At 34.8% G+C, this 14,740-nt stretch overlaps 1 long non-coding RNA gene across 2 annotated transcripts in view; it reads right to left on the bottom strand.

Moving 5' to 3' along the window:
- Nucleotides 1-1,877: 1,877 nt before the first annotated feature.
- LOC105379144 (uncharacterized) overlaps nucleotides 1,878-14,740 on the bottom strand; it is a 142,695-nt gene continuing 129,832 nt past the window's right edge. For both annotated transcript variants that reach the window (XR_948706.2, XR_948707.2), the window contains exon 3: nucleotides 1,878-2,134. This is a non-coding gene — a long non-coding RNA (uncharacterized LOC105379144). The remainder of the gene's footprint in view (nucleotides 2,135-14,740) is intronic.

Below are 14,740 nucleotides of genomic sequence, written 5' to 3'. Positions count from 1 at the left end.
CTCTTTTCCATAACATTTATCATCTTCTAACTTACTATATCATTAACTTATTTATCATAAGTATTACTCATTGTCTGTCTTCCCTACCCAGAAGGGCAGGGATTTTTGTATTATTCGCTGATAGTCTTCTTTCCAAAACAGTGCCTGACATATATTATATGCACAATAAATATCAGTTCAATTGGGTTTAATCTGGGATCCATAAAAAGTATAGTAAAATGTGACATCTGTTCTTTTTTTTTAAGAAAAGGGCCGGGGGGAGCAGAGGGTAAGTAGAATATTCAGGGACATAGATGAAGGAGATTTTATTTCTGCCTAGAAGCACTGAGTAAAGCACTATGAAAAGGTAGAATATCAATGGAGTTTAACAAGGTGGTAAGAATTTTTTGTTAAGTGATGATGAATGGAGAAGGATATTCCAGCATAAGAAAAAAAAAATTGGCAAACAAAGCACAGTCAAAATCACAGAATTTATGTAAGAGGTGAAAAGCATTTCAGGGGAAAAGAAGGTGGGGGCCAAGGCTTGGAAAACTACCTATCAGATATTATGTTCACTACTTGTGTAAGGGAATCATTAGAAGTTCAAACCTCAGCGTCACACAATATACCCACGTGACAAAACTGCACATGTACTCCCTGAATCTAAAATAAGATAAAATAAAACTCCAAAGCTTTTCAAAGTTATACTATCATGATAATTTATTTTAATGAAAGACAGAAAAAGGGAAAAGTAGTTTGGTTTGACTAGAATGTAAACTTTAGGAGTAGAAAAATTGAGATAAAAACTCTGGAAAATGGAGTAGGATTTATAGTCAATGTGCTTTAATGTTAGAGTCAAAGTTTAGACAACATTCTGCATGCAGTATGGAATTAATAAAGGATTTTAAACACAGAAAGGATAAAATCGGACTGGAGAGATTCACTACAGTAGGGAGAAAAGGGAAAAAAGGAGACTATTCTAAAAAGCTGTTGCAATTTTTCAGGTGAGAGATTGTGAGGTACTTAACTAGGCAATGCTGTAGGATGTTTTTTTAATAAGGATATAAGCTTGATATAGTCATAGAAAGTGAGATAGCAAGTCTTGATGATTGAATAAAATTATGAGAAAGGAGAGAAATAGAGATGACAAGATTTGTATTCTGAATGGCTTTAAGTAGAATAAAGAACACAAGATGGGGAAGATGTATTAAGGATTTTTATTTGGAAGTGTATTTGAGAAAACATGCTGGAAAAATATGTTTGTGGCCCAGGAGAGATGTTTAAGCTGAAACTATATATTTGTGATTTTTATGATTAATGAGCATAACTGTAGAGTATCTGCCCACTGGGTTCGGAATATATAGAGAGGAGCAAGCAATGATGGAAAGAAATATCTTGAAAATATTCAGAGAGGTGGAGGAAATGATGTCATCATGCACTTAAGGAAGAAGAGGAAGAAAATGAGAATAGAAGAGTAGTCAGGGATGAAACTTTGAAGTTTGGTAAGTCAAAGCCAAATGACAACAAGCTCTGTATAGTGAATGAATTGATCAAGGTCATTAGAGTAGAAGATGTAAAAGATTAGTGAGGTCATAGTGATCATGAGTCATTAACATGTGTGCAGAAAGAACAACAGCAGGGGTTTGGGTTAAGAGAAAGACCTATACATATGCACAATGCATTAAGGCTGTATAAATGCAGAAGGCACCGAGAAAAGTAATAGAAAAATTGGTTTATTTCTGTGTAATTAGTTAAGCAGATGAAACAAAAGTATTAAATAGCTTTTAATTTTTAGATTAATGATTCGACAAATATAGTTAATGATGCTCAGAAAGGGCTGCAGGGCCCTATAATAAGTCAAATATATGAGAAAAGAAATAAATGAGCTACCTGTAGAATCATAAAGAGAAATTATCATCCATTGGCCTTGAGTGATACATTCAAAAGTCAAAATTTTGTTTCATATGATTTAGTCTCTTATTATGTGGTGTTTCATTTTTATGAAACATTTAGAATTTCTTAGTGGAATAGCAATCACTGATATGAATATTACTTGCCATGAAAAAAAAATGATGAACTTGATAGTGATTAACGGCTTCCATTACACTCAGAATTTAGGTTGAATTGCTGGCTCTGGTGATGATAGCACAAAACTCTGCAAAAGAGGAACCAACATTTTAACACATTTTAGAAGTCCCAGATTTGGACTACATGAGTTTTTTACTTGTACTTCACTATACAGTATAAGTCTGTATATCTCTCTTAAATTACTAGGTTCATAAATATATCTATCTTAAATATATATGTCTATATTTTAAATAATTATGATCTTTTTAAGTAAAGAATAAAATAAAGGAAATCATTCATATTTATTGTCAATAAAAGCCATTGGTCAGGTTTTTCATCTTTTGGTTTCTTTTATATCATTAATCCATTTTCTATTTAATGCCTTGGGATTTAACCACATGATTCACTATACTTTGAATGATAATTTTATAGCTGAAGCTTGGAACCATCTCTCCAAAAGCCTATCTCAACACTAAATATTAAGATATCACATTAAAAAGGTAAGAGACACAGGCAGCAGCAAAGATAATTAATGTTACAAGGAAAGAACTACAAAGAAAAATAAATGATCAAAGGATAATTCCGGGTTGTCAAGAATTTTTTTAATATTTCAAAGAACAGAAAAACCCCAGTCCTTTGCACCCATTTCCTTCTTCCCTTATTCTGCTGATCCAATCTGCCTCTAGCATGCAAGGCAATGCTTAGACCTCAAATGAATGTATGGGGATTTTCTTGACAACTTTTGTTGTGATTATTGTGCTTTGCTTTCAGAACAGAGGAAATGGGAGTTGCTAGTTGTCAAGTACATTTATGTAACAAATGTTTGTTTGCAAATATCTTGCCTTAGGGAAAGAAGAGATGGGAGTTTTCAGTTGTCAAGTTGATTTTAGCATTGAATATATTGTTTTAAGAAAACAAGCATAAGCTTGTATTTGTCAACAATTGCTGACAATAAAAATGTGTTTATTTCAAGTGTGACTGTATTTTATCTTGCTAAGGAGTCAGAAGTTAATGAGCTGATAAAAAATAAATTTCCCACTTCTGGTGACTGAAGTAGAAAAAAGATAGTCCAAGAAGATCAAAACCTGTGAGAGGAGAGGAACTGCACCAAAGGGCCCATCCTGCTGGTCTGGAGCTTGCTGGAGATCCAACACAACTCTCCCATATTTGAATGAATGTTAGGACCATGACCCACTACGACAGGTCCAGTCCAGTGAAATTGCTCACTATCAGAGCTATTCCCATGACTCCTAGATGAAGACCATTGGCCTCTGCTTGAAACAGATTCATTACTACAGGAAAAGTAGCAAACTGGATGTTCCCATTTTGAATTCTGGATATTAACATCCATAATCCAATAAGAAAGAGTCTTATTCAAATACTGAGAAAAGTGAGTGCTTCAGTTTGCCTAAACAGTTTTCTTTAGGGAGGTTGAAAGAGGAAGCTGCCATGATTAGAATATTTGGAGCACCCTCTAAACTCCTTATTAGGACTACGACTTAATTTTTGGTAGCACATCTTAGGGAGGTCTGCAGTATTTTAGTTCCCTGAGTCTAACTAATGATAAGTAACCACAAAGAGTCCTGTATGCCCCAGGGAGCTTCTATTAGTACATGAAGCTCTGTAAGCAATGGGGACTGACTTCAAAGGACGCAATAACTATTCCTATAGATGGTTAAGCTTGTCTGGATACTCCCTTGGATCAGCTCCTGACTCCCATTTATGGGTCAACTTTACATTCTGAGAGTGAAATCCTCCATTGTCACAATTTATTCATGAACTTTAACCAAGTGAAGCAGTAACTCGAACAACAAATTTATTCTGGTAACAAAAAATTCTATTAATCCATTCCCTCTACTTTTACTAAAGTTAGAAATCATACTCAGATGAGAATATTTGTCTAATCACAAAAATGAAAATGAAATATTTCTAAATCCACAGGATTAAAGAGCTCTTCTCAGTGTTTCATGTTTTGATATTATTTCATTACACAGCAGTGTTATTAATCTTTCTGGCTTCTTCACCAAACTTGAATGATCAGGCATCCTGTCTGTTGCTTTCCTTATAATGTGTTCTTCAACAGTGAGTCAAAGATAGATGTCAAGCTTGAAGTAAAGGTTCATTTACCTCCATGTATTTTTCAGAGAAAGCCTCTGATGATTATGTAAGATGCCATTATAATTAATTATCAAATGGATGAGTGAATTTTAAAATGAGGCTATAATTCATTGACCAGAATCCTGTTCACCATTCTTCAATTAGGGTGGGCCTTTTCCATGTTGGATTAACATTCTTCTTTCTCCTTAATTGATCTCTTGTCATCCTTGAACAAAAAGTCATTTGTTAGTGCAGGAAGCAGTCAAAGTTAAACAAGGAGCCTACTGATGTTGAAGGGCTCTGTGTCATAGAAAACGTCATGGGCAAGGTGCTTGCAATAGATGAAAATGAAAAACACACACCACACCACACACATACACACACACACACACAAAACTCCATGCTGGGAATTACGTTAATCAGTGTTGATATTCAAAATATGTAACAACTGTAGAGGCAGCATGGGCACCAACCATCAGAATGAATGCAATGTCTAATCAGAATGAGCATTGCATAACCTGCTGGTAGAGCTATACTGATACATCTGATTGCATTAGCCTTGAAGAATATAATTGCTCCATTCACTACTAATTTACTTTACAATGACAAGGTCATTGATAACTTTTAAGCAGAAAATTCTATAACTCTGTAATTTTCATTGACATTTTTAGTGTAAACTGGAGTAACAACCTCAAATGCTACAGGACAAGGCAGGAATTAAAAGCCAGGAAGTGCACAAGAGAGCTGGAAGTGGTAAAGCCTGCAAAACCGGAGACTGCATTCCTCAACCAAAGATGTTCAATTTAAAATATTTTTAAAACTGCTGGCCAGGAAATACAACATAACTCACATTCTATCTTAGGTTCAAACTAATGAGCATGCCAAAGTCCAAACAACATCTTCAAATTCTGTAATGTTCTCCAATTTAACCTAATACTTGGGAAATATGTTGTATTCTCATGATGGACTATGTTATTATGTCACAAAAGTTAAATAACTTATAATAAAATTTAAATAAAAATCAAAGAAAAAATTTCCTAACGTTTCTTTTAAACTGCGAATGGTCAGGAACTGTGCCTTATATCATTCTCATACTAGCACAGTGCTTCTTATTCTATATGTTATCCAATGCATGTGCATTGGATATAGAATGAAGAATGGTTTATTGTTTGTTTGTTTGCTTGTTTGCTCTTTAACTATTTTAACAAAAGAGGGTTTTAATTTTTTCCTGAGTGAATGATGATAAAGTAGAAACAGAAAACTATTTCATGAATGCCATTATAAATCCTCAAGGGTAACAGAAAAGTAGAGCATTATTACTAAGTTACAGGTCAAATTACCCAATATGAACTTAAAGAGGTGAGGTGGAGAAAAAACAGATCTGACCACATATACCACAAATTATTTACCATTTAAGAAAATGGCCAACTCCATGTAAGCAAAAACCCTCCAAAAGCATCTTGAAACCCACAAAGCTATCCAGAATTGACACACCCCATTATACAGAATTGACAAGTCCCATTCATTCCGTGGGATTTTATGAGCACCATAGCAAATCTGTGAACACAATATGGACCTAATGCAGAAATTTCCTGAGCATGCCTCAATCCTAAAGGGTCTTCCAGGAAATACTTTCAATTATGGAATGAAGGTAAAGAAACCCATAGCTTGAGAGGGATCATTGGAACAGAATATTGTGCACAGTTCTTCGTGGGCTTGATAATTCTCCAGCACACATTATAAAACTGAAAAATCTGAAGAATTCTTCATTTAATCCCAATGTCTTGCTTTATCTTAAACCTCAAATCTATAATTTTGTGGCTGAAAATCAAATCAAAAATTTAAGGAACGTAGGTAAGGTGAATAGATGGAAAAAAGAGAGAGAATTAGGTTAACGCAATACAATGACATTCATGTTTGATCATTGTTATTGTCCAGTGACGACTACATCCCAAGGTCTTGGACGAAGAATAAAAATAAATTGCAGACACTAATGAAAGGTTTCTTCAAGGCAACAGAAATTAAAGACATTGATCTCATACCAAAAAAATTCACAAAACACTTTTAGAAGTTTGACTGTACAAAAGTAGAAACTACACCATCTACTACTTCTAATTCACATTTAAAAAATGTATTTTGAGATAACGCTGGTCTATCACACTAACCGATAACAGTTCATTTCTTGCCGCTATGGCAGCCAAAATGTGTAGTAGATGATTAAAGACCAGCATCTCCCTATTTTGACATATGATGAAGTCTAAAAATATTTCTTATACAAGAACGTGTAATAGCTACATTAATCAGCTCTTCAAATCATTTAATTCTGAAGATGATACTACAGTTTTTTATCCTTCCCTTGTCTATTAATTTCTTAAAAAGAAAAATGTCATATAATGAGTAAAGTTCATGTTTAAGTTTCTACTCTTAAATAGCTACCAATTTTCAAATGCCTTGATATAACAGAAACTGTTAATTGCATCAATAAAATCTGTATCAAAGATAAAGTTTTAGCCTGAGAAATTCAGTATAAACCAGAGAATAAATATGTTTATTCCCAAAATATTAACAAAATATATTTAGAAGTTCTATCATGTCTCGAATAGATGCGTATACCTATCTTCAAAAAAATAATCATTCTGAGTCATTTTACTCATGTCAATAAAATCTATATTTAAAAAATAAAATCACATATATTCTTAATTCTATTATAAGACGTCAAGAATATTATTCTGTCTCTGCCATTTCAACTAAATAATAATATAGTAATTCTGGTATAACCAGTAATTTTACACACAACCCTAATTTAGTCTCTTTAACTTATATGACTTGAGTAAACAAAAGGTTTTTGCAATCTAGAAAAGTTCATATATTGAGAGCAATTTTTACATGAAGGCTACTAACTAAAGAGAATAAAATTTTTCCATTGGTCTTTAGATTCACCATCCTCACCAAAAAACCCAAACCCTAATATATAGAAATAGCAATACTTTGAAAAGTATTCACAGAAAAGTATTCAAGTGAGAAAATAATTACAATAAATGGGAAAATATCCCATGCTCTTTTGAAGATTTAATTAACTCCAAATTAATATGTTAATTTTATAAAATTCCAGTAAAGGTTTTAAATGAGTATTTTAGAAACTTTTTTGTTATATATATGTAAGTTATACAACATGATGTTTTGCTACATATGCACATAGTGAAATTATTACCACAGTCAAGCAAATAAACATATCTATCACTTTATATAGTTACCTTACTTGTGGGGGGTAGGTAGGTAAGAAGTCCTAAAATCTACCATTTTAGCAAATTTTTAGTATATAATATTATTAACTACAGTTCCCATGCTGTACATGAGATCTCTAGGCTTATTCATCTTATATAACTTCACCTACATCTCCCCATTTCTTCCCCCTCCATGCCCCTGGTAATCACTGTCATACTCTTTGTTTCTACATACAGTATTTGACTTTTTTTCCCTAAAATTTCACTAAAATCATGCAGTATTTGCCTTCTTCTGTGTAGCTTATTCCACCTAGCATAATATCCTCCATGTCCATCCATGTGCCACAAATTGCACTATCTCCCTTTTTAACTCTGAATATTGTTCCATCGTACATATATACCACAATTTCTTTATGCATTCATTCATCTATGAACACAGGTTCTTTTCATATCTTGGCTGTTGTAATAATGCTACAGTAAACATGGGAACTCAGCTATCTCTACAAGGTGCTAATTTCATTTCCTTAGGGTATATAGCCAGCAGAGGTATTGCTGGGTCTTATGGCAGTGTTATTTTTAGTTGTTCAAGGAACCTTCACACTGTTTGTCATAATGGCTATACCAGTTTACATTCCCACCCACCAAAAGTGTACAAGAGTACCCTTTACTGCACACCCTCACCAAAACTTTTTATCTCTTGTCTTTTTGATAGTAGCTATTCTAACAGGTGTGAGGCAGTATCTCACTACGGTTTTATTTAATTTGCATTTCCCTGATGATTAGTGATGTTGAGCACCTTTTCATATACCTATTTGTCATTTCTATGTCTTCTTTGGAAAAATGTCTACTGAAGTCTTTTGACCATTTTTTAATTGAGTTATTTGGATTTTCTTTTTTTAAGATGGAGTCTCGCTCTTGTCACCCAGACTGGAGTGCAGTGGCGCAATCTCGGCTCACTGCAACCTCCACCTCCCAGGTTCAAGTGATTCTCCTGCCTCAGCCTCCTGAGTAGCTGGGATTACAGGCACCCACCACCATGCCTGGCTAATTTTTGTACTTTTAGTAGAGATGGGGTTTCGCCATGTTGGCCAGGCTGGTCTCAAACTCCTGTCAAGTGATCCTCCCACCTTGGCCTCCCAAAGCGCTGGGATTACAGGCATGAGCCACTGGGCCTGGCCTATTTGTTTTTGTTGTTGTTGTTGTTGTTGTTGTTGTTGTTGTTGTTAAATTGCTTGAGTTTCTTATGTATTTTGTATATTAACTGATATGGGTTGGCTGTGTTCCCAACCAAAACTCATCTTGAATTGTAGCTCCCATAATTCCCACATGTGGTGAAAGGGACCCAGTAGGAGATAACTGAATCATGGGAGCAGTTTCCCCAATACATTTCTTGTGATAGCGAATGAGACTCACAAGATCTGACGTTTTTATAAGGGGTTTCTGCTTTTGCTTGGTTCTCATTCTGTTTTGCCTGCTGCCATGTAAGATACGCCTTTTGCCTTCCGCCATGATAGTGAGGCCTCCCCAGCCATGTGGAACCATGAGTCCATTAAACCTCTTTTTCTTTATAAATTACCAAGTCTCGGGTATGTCTTTATTAGCAGCATGAACAGACTAACACATTAACCCCTTATTGGATACATCGTTTCCAAATATTTTCTCCCTTTCTATAGATTGTCTTTTCACTCTAGATTATTTCATTTTCTATGCAGAGGCTTTATAGTACAATACAATTCCACTAGTTTACTTTTGGTTTTTGCTGCCTGTACATTTCGGGTCATATCCAAAAAAATCATTGCCCAGACAAATGTCATGGGGCTTTTCTTTTCTGTTTTCTTCTAGAAGTTTTACGTTTCATGTCTTACATTTAAGTCTTTCATCCATTTTGAATTAATATTTTTGTGTATCATGTTAGATGAGGGTTCAATTTCGTTCTTCTGCATGTGGGTATACAGTTTTCTCAGTATCATTTATGAAAAAGACTATCTTTTCACCATTGTGTGTTTTGGGCACCCTATTTGAAGAACAGTTAGTTGTAGAAAAATGGATTTTTTTCTCGGCTCCTTATTCTGTTCCATTAGTTTAAATGTTTATTTTTATGACAGTATCATACTCTTTTGAGTACTATACATTTGTAATATATTTTGAAATCAGGAAGTATAATGCCTCTAACTGTTCTTGTTCAAGATTGATTTGGCTACCCAGGGTCTTTTATTGTCTCATATAAATTTTAAGATTTAGTTAATTTCTGTAAAAAAAATACTATTGGGACTTTGATAGGAATCACATTAAATCTGTGCACTACTTTGGGGAGTATGGACATTTTAACAATATTAATTTTTCCAATCTGTGAACACAGGATATCTTTCCATTTATTTCTCTTCTTCAATTATTCTTGTCAATCTTTTATAATTTTATTGTACAGATCTTTCACTTTCCTGGTTAAATTGATTTCTACTTATTATTTTCAATGCTATTGTAACTAGGCTTATCTTCTTTATTTCTTTTTTGGATAGATTGCTATTGATGTAAAGAAATGCAACTGATTTTTCTGTGTTAATTTTGTATTCTTCTACTTTACTAAATTTATTTATTATAGCTAACAGTATTTTTGTGAAATCTTTAGAGCTTTTGCATGTAGAATCCTGTCGTCTTCTAATAGAGATAATTTTACTTCTTCATTCTTGATTTGGATGCCTTTTTTTCTTTTTCTTGTCTAATTGCTCTTGCTAGTAATTCCAGGGATGTTGAATAAGTGATGAGATCAGACATTCTTGCCTTGTGCCAGATCTTAGAGAAAAAACTTTCAATAGTTTCCCATTGATTATGATGTTAGCTGTGGGCTTTTCATCAATGCTCTCTATTTTGATGGGGAAATTTTCTTCTCTACCCATTTTATGGAGAGGTTTTACCATGAAAGAACATTGAACTTTATCAAATGCTTTTTTTATGTGATTTTTATCTTTCATTCTGTTATTATGATATATCACAGTGATTAATTTGCATAGGTAAAGCCAATCTTGCATCCCAGAAATAAACTACACTTGATCATGCTATACAATCTTCCTGACGTGTTGTTGAACTTGGTTTGCTAGTATTTTCATCAGAGAAATTGGACCATCTTTTCTTGTGGTATCTTTCTGGCTTTGGTATCAGGGTGATGTTGGCCTCATAAAATAAGTTTCAAAGTAAGCCATCCACTTTGATTTTTGGAAAAGTTTAAGAAGAATTGGTATTAATTCTTCTGTGAATGTTTGGTAAGGAAATTTACATATTCTCTAAAATATATGCTGGAAAAAGAAGTTCAGAAATAGCAATGTCAACCGTGAAATGCAAATAATACTTAACTTACCATACATTAAGAAATACTACAAAGCCATAGATGAGAACCCATGTAATACTGGTCCAAGAACACATAAATAAATAAATAAATGAGATAGAAAAAGAAACTCAGAAGTTGGAATGGTTGGATAAATGATAACACTAAATACGGAGAGGGATCTCTGAGCTCTGAGAAAAATAACAGCCCAATCTCAGGAGAGTCTATAGAACCAGAATAATCAGAGTGAAAGCCAAATCAGCCAGGGAATCCCACTGAGAATACGACTCAAGGAAAAAAAAAATAGACCAAAACTCTACAAGTCACAGATGTTTCTGGAGGCTAGCAGAGCTCCCAACAAGCAACATCCAAGTGCAGAACAGGCTATATAATCTAAAAGACTCAGTGAAAAATGAAAATGTGGGTCCCACAGTACAGAAAGAAGTGACATTAAAAGTATTAAAATGTAAAGCCATTCCTTCCTTCCACAGTCTCTCTGTCTCAATTTGTTATGGTGTTTTCATTTGCTATGTAATGTCATTCTAAGTACATTTAAATTATTAGTAAAAATTTACCATTCATCTTTATATTGTTCAATACCAGTCTTAAATGCAAATATAAGAGCATTTAACTCATGCATGGAATTAACAAAATTTCAGGCTTCACTTTTTGCAGCTCATATTTGAATATATATTATAGTCTTACCAGAAGAGTGGAAAGTCTGCAGAAAACTAACACAACTGCTTTTATTTCACTTCTTGATGTATGCAAGATCTACTGATAGTCTTTAACTTTGCCTTATTGATGAGTAAGAAGGACTAACAAGAAAAGGAATTACGGGTTGCACTATTTCCTTTTCCTTCTCTGTCATCATTTTTTAGTGTAAGTGGTTGGGTAATGCAGGGAGGTACAAAAGGACATGATAGGGTCCTCTGGTCATTTGTGTTTCTTAGTGGTCATTTACATATTTCTACATTCAAAGCAAATTATGTTTGAAACAGAAAGCATGGCCTTTAGGGATGTTCACATCCCCACTTTCTCATTGGTAGATGTAACATGCTTACTGTGTACTCCTTTGAGTCTTACTGAACCTCCACATATTAATGACTGTGATAGAATGCTTAGATGGCCCCAAGTGTTCTTCCCCTTGTTGTGCATACCTTGTCCAATTCCCTCACTTAAATGCAGTGGGCTGTGTGAATGTGATGGGATATTACTCCCATGATTATATTATGTTATATGGCAAAGGTGAAGGGACTTTGCAAATGTAATTAAGGTCCCAACTCAGTTGGTTGAAGTTAATAAACAGATTGAGTATCCTAGGTGGGCCCTATATAATCAGATGAACCCTTTAAAAGAGAGACTACAGATCAGAAACTCCAAGCAACAGCAGAGACACTCTCTCTCCATCTCCCTACACTCCTCCTTTTTCCCTCCCACCATCAAACTATTGTTTTAAAACTTTGAAGAAGCAAGCTGCCATGAACTCTACTGACATAAGGAAATGAATTCTACCAACAACATGAGGGAGGTTGAAAGCAGATCGTTCCCTCTCTAAGCCTCCCAATGAGAATGCAGCCCAGCCAACTTTGAATACAGCCTTATGAACCCTTAAGCAGAGGATCCAGTTAAGCAGTACCCAAATTCCTGTCCTACAGAAAGTGTTAGTAATGAATGTGTGTTGTTTTAAACCACTCAGTTTGTGGCAAATTATTACACAGTGTACAAAACTATATTTGGGTCCACTGGAATTGTGTGCTTATGGAGCACTGCAGTTGCTATATGTGAATAAGGCAAGAAGGAACAGTGCAGACATGCATATTGTGTGATGCTTACACACATTTGCTTACACACATGCACCATCATCCCATCAGAATTCACTTACAAAACACAGATCCGAATGTAAAATTATTATGAAGTTCAAATTAGCAACAGCAGAGCATGAAATCAAGCATAAAACCTTTCTATCATGGGGCCCTAGACAACTGCATGTTCATGAAGCTGGCCCTGCACGGTGGACAAGGACCAGGAACAAGTAAAAATTACTTCAAAAATAGCGTATCTTTCTCTGCATGATAAAATATTGTATGCTGTACCCTTTCCTCTCCCATAAAAGCAATACTGTCTTAGGGAGAGTAGTGAGCAATAAGGATAGCAATCTGAGTACAAAGCATTACCCAACCAGTTTACATGGCCACATCATACGTGCTTTACACTGAATTTTATACTTAATTATTTCACTGCTTTCTCTTCCCCAACCCCAACAAATGAGCACCAAGAGGAATACTAGATTTGTTAAAAAGAAAATTGCAAAAATGCATAATTGCATTTTCTCTGAAATCCAAGCTGCAGAGTGAATAATATATTCTGACCCCATTTTGCTCATGGCACAGGACTTAAACTATTTTTTAAACAAATCCTTTAAAGTTATATAACACCTTGAAGAGTGAATCCCTCCAACTCACTCTCTGGAATTGCATACAATCATCCTTTTAAGAACTTTTTGCTCCTGGAGACTCTGTAAGGACAAAGATTCTTAGAAAAAATTTCTTGAAGAATTTTAAGTAAAATCATCAATGGAACTTGGACAAAATCAACAAATTACTTAATGCCTAAAATATCACAACATATTATCTTCTAACTGCTCTGAGGACAGAATTTACACGGAAGATTTTTGGGTTTTTTGCTTTGTTTTGTTTTCTCAAACGACATTGGCATTTGGGAAAAAAAATAAAATAAGTGCTGAAATGTAAGTTATCCTATTCTTCTGAGGGAATGAAAACAGCTGAAGAAAAGGAATTATGATGAAAAGTATTCCAAAGTAAATTCAGTCCCCAACCCTCTCTTAAGGATTACAACTCATGTGCATCAGATCCTAGATAGCTGAAAAAGTTCCAAAAGTCCATCCTTACACTTTACTGGGAATAGCTCCATCTGCAGTCATAGTGGCGTGGCTCAGAATAAATCCCAAAGACAATTCTAATTTCCTATGTCTGATTTCTTCTGCCTCAAATCTTACAGTCAACTTTTATTTTTCATATTTTAAACGTTTTCTTCCCTTGACTCAACCTCCTTTTCCCAACACGTCTCTATTTTCTCTTCCATTACCAAACTCCAGACTCTAGTAACCTTACACCAGAATCACTTCAATACTTCTACTATCTTCATAAAGTCTTTTTTCTTCTAGGACATATAATAGAGCACTACCTAATTAATCCCTCTAAAATGCGATCTCTAAAAATATCAGTGCTAAATTATTCAGCCTAGCATCAAAGTCTCTCCCCAACCTAGACTCTACCACCTTTTCGCCCTTGGTGGTTTCCTGTGGGTTGAACACAAGGAAATAGCCCAAAAAGCCTCACCAGTTTTTCTGGGAGATACTATTTCTCTTAGATAAATTAAATCTGATTTCACATTTGTAGATTCAATTCAACTTTTCTTAGTCCTCTATTATATGCCAGGCACCATGCTTGACACTGGAGAAGCAACAATGAGTGAGACATGACCCTGACTTTGAAGAGCTCACTGTGATGGGTAGGAGAGTTTAAAGGGCTCCCCAACCCACCTTGTCACCCCTATTTCTACCACTACAAAATATGTGGCAACTGCTAGAAGGGATTATTCATAAAATGTTAAGAGAGCACAAATAAGGGAGTTGAGATTAGAGAGAGTAGATGTACAAAGACCATGCAAGAGCTACAATAGGTTATTTATTTATGATCCTAATTAGGGTTTCTAGTCCTAAATGATATGCAAAATAAGAAAAAAAAGTCTTCCTATATAACTACAAGGTTGCAGATCCCTAAATTAGAATAGAAGCAGAGAAGAGGGAAAGGCAGAAACCAATCTAGAGTAATGAATAACTTATAGGACTCTGTGAATAACCATATGGGAGAGAGAATTAAAGGCAAGGATTAAGCTGGATTCCAAGTTCTCAGGTCTGAGTGCCTGAGGTAAAACAGGATGTTTGAGTGGCAAAACAGTCAGAATAGAAGGACAGCTGGAGAGGGGGAAGGTAGTGTGGCATTTTGGATGTACTTATGGAAGAGATGTC

Source organism: Homo sapiens, chromosome 5 (assembly GCF_000001405.40).
Source record: "Homo sapiens chromosome 5, GRCh38.p14 Primary Assembly".
NCBI classification, from domain to species: Eukaryota; Metazoa; Chordata; class Mammalia; order Primates; family Hominidae; genus Homo; species Homo sapiens.
Note: the sequence above shows the minus strand (reverse complement) of the source record. Positions and strands in the feature narration are given on the sequence as shown.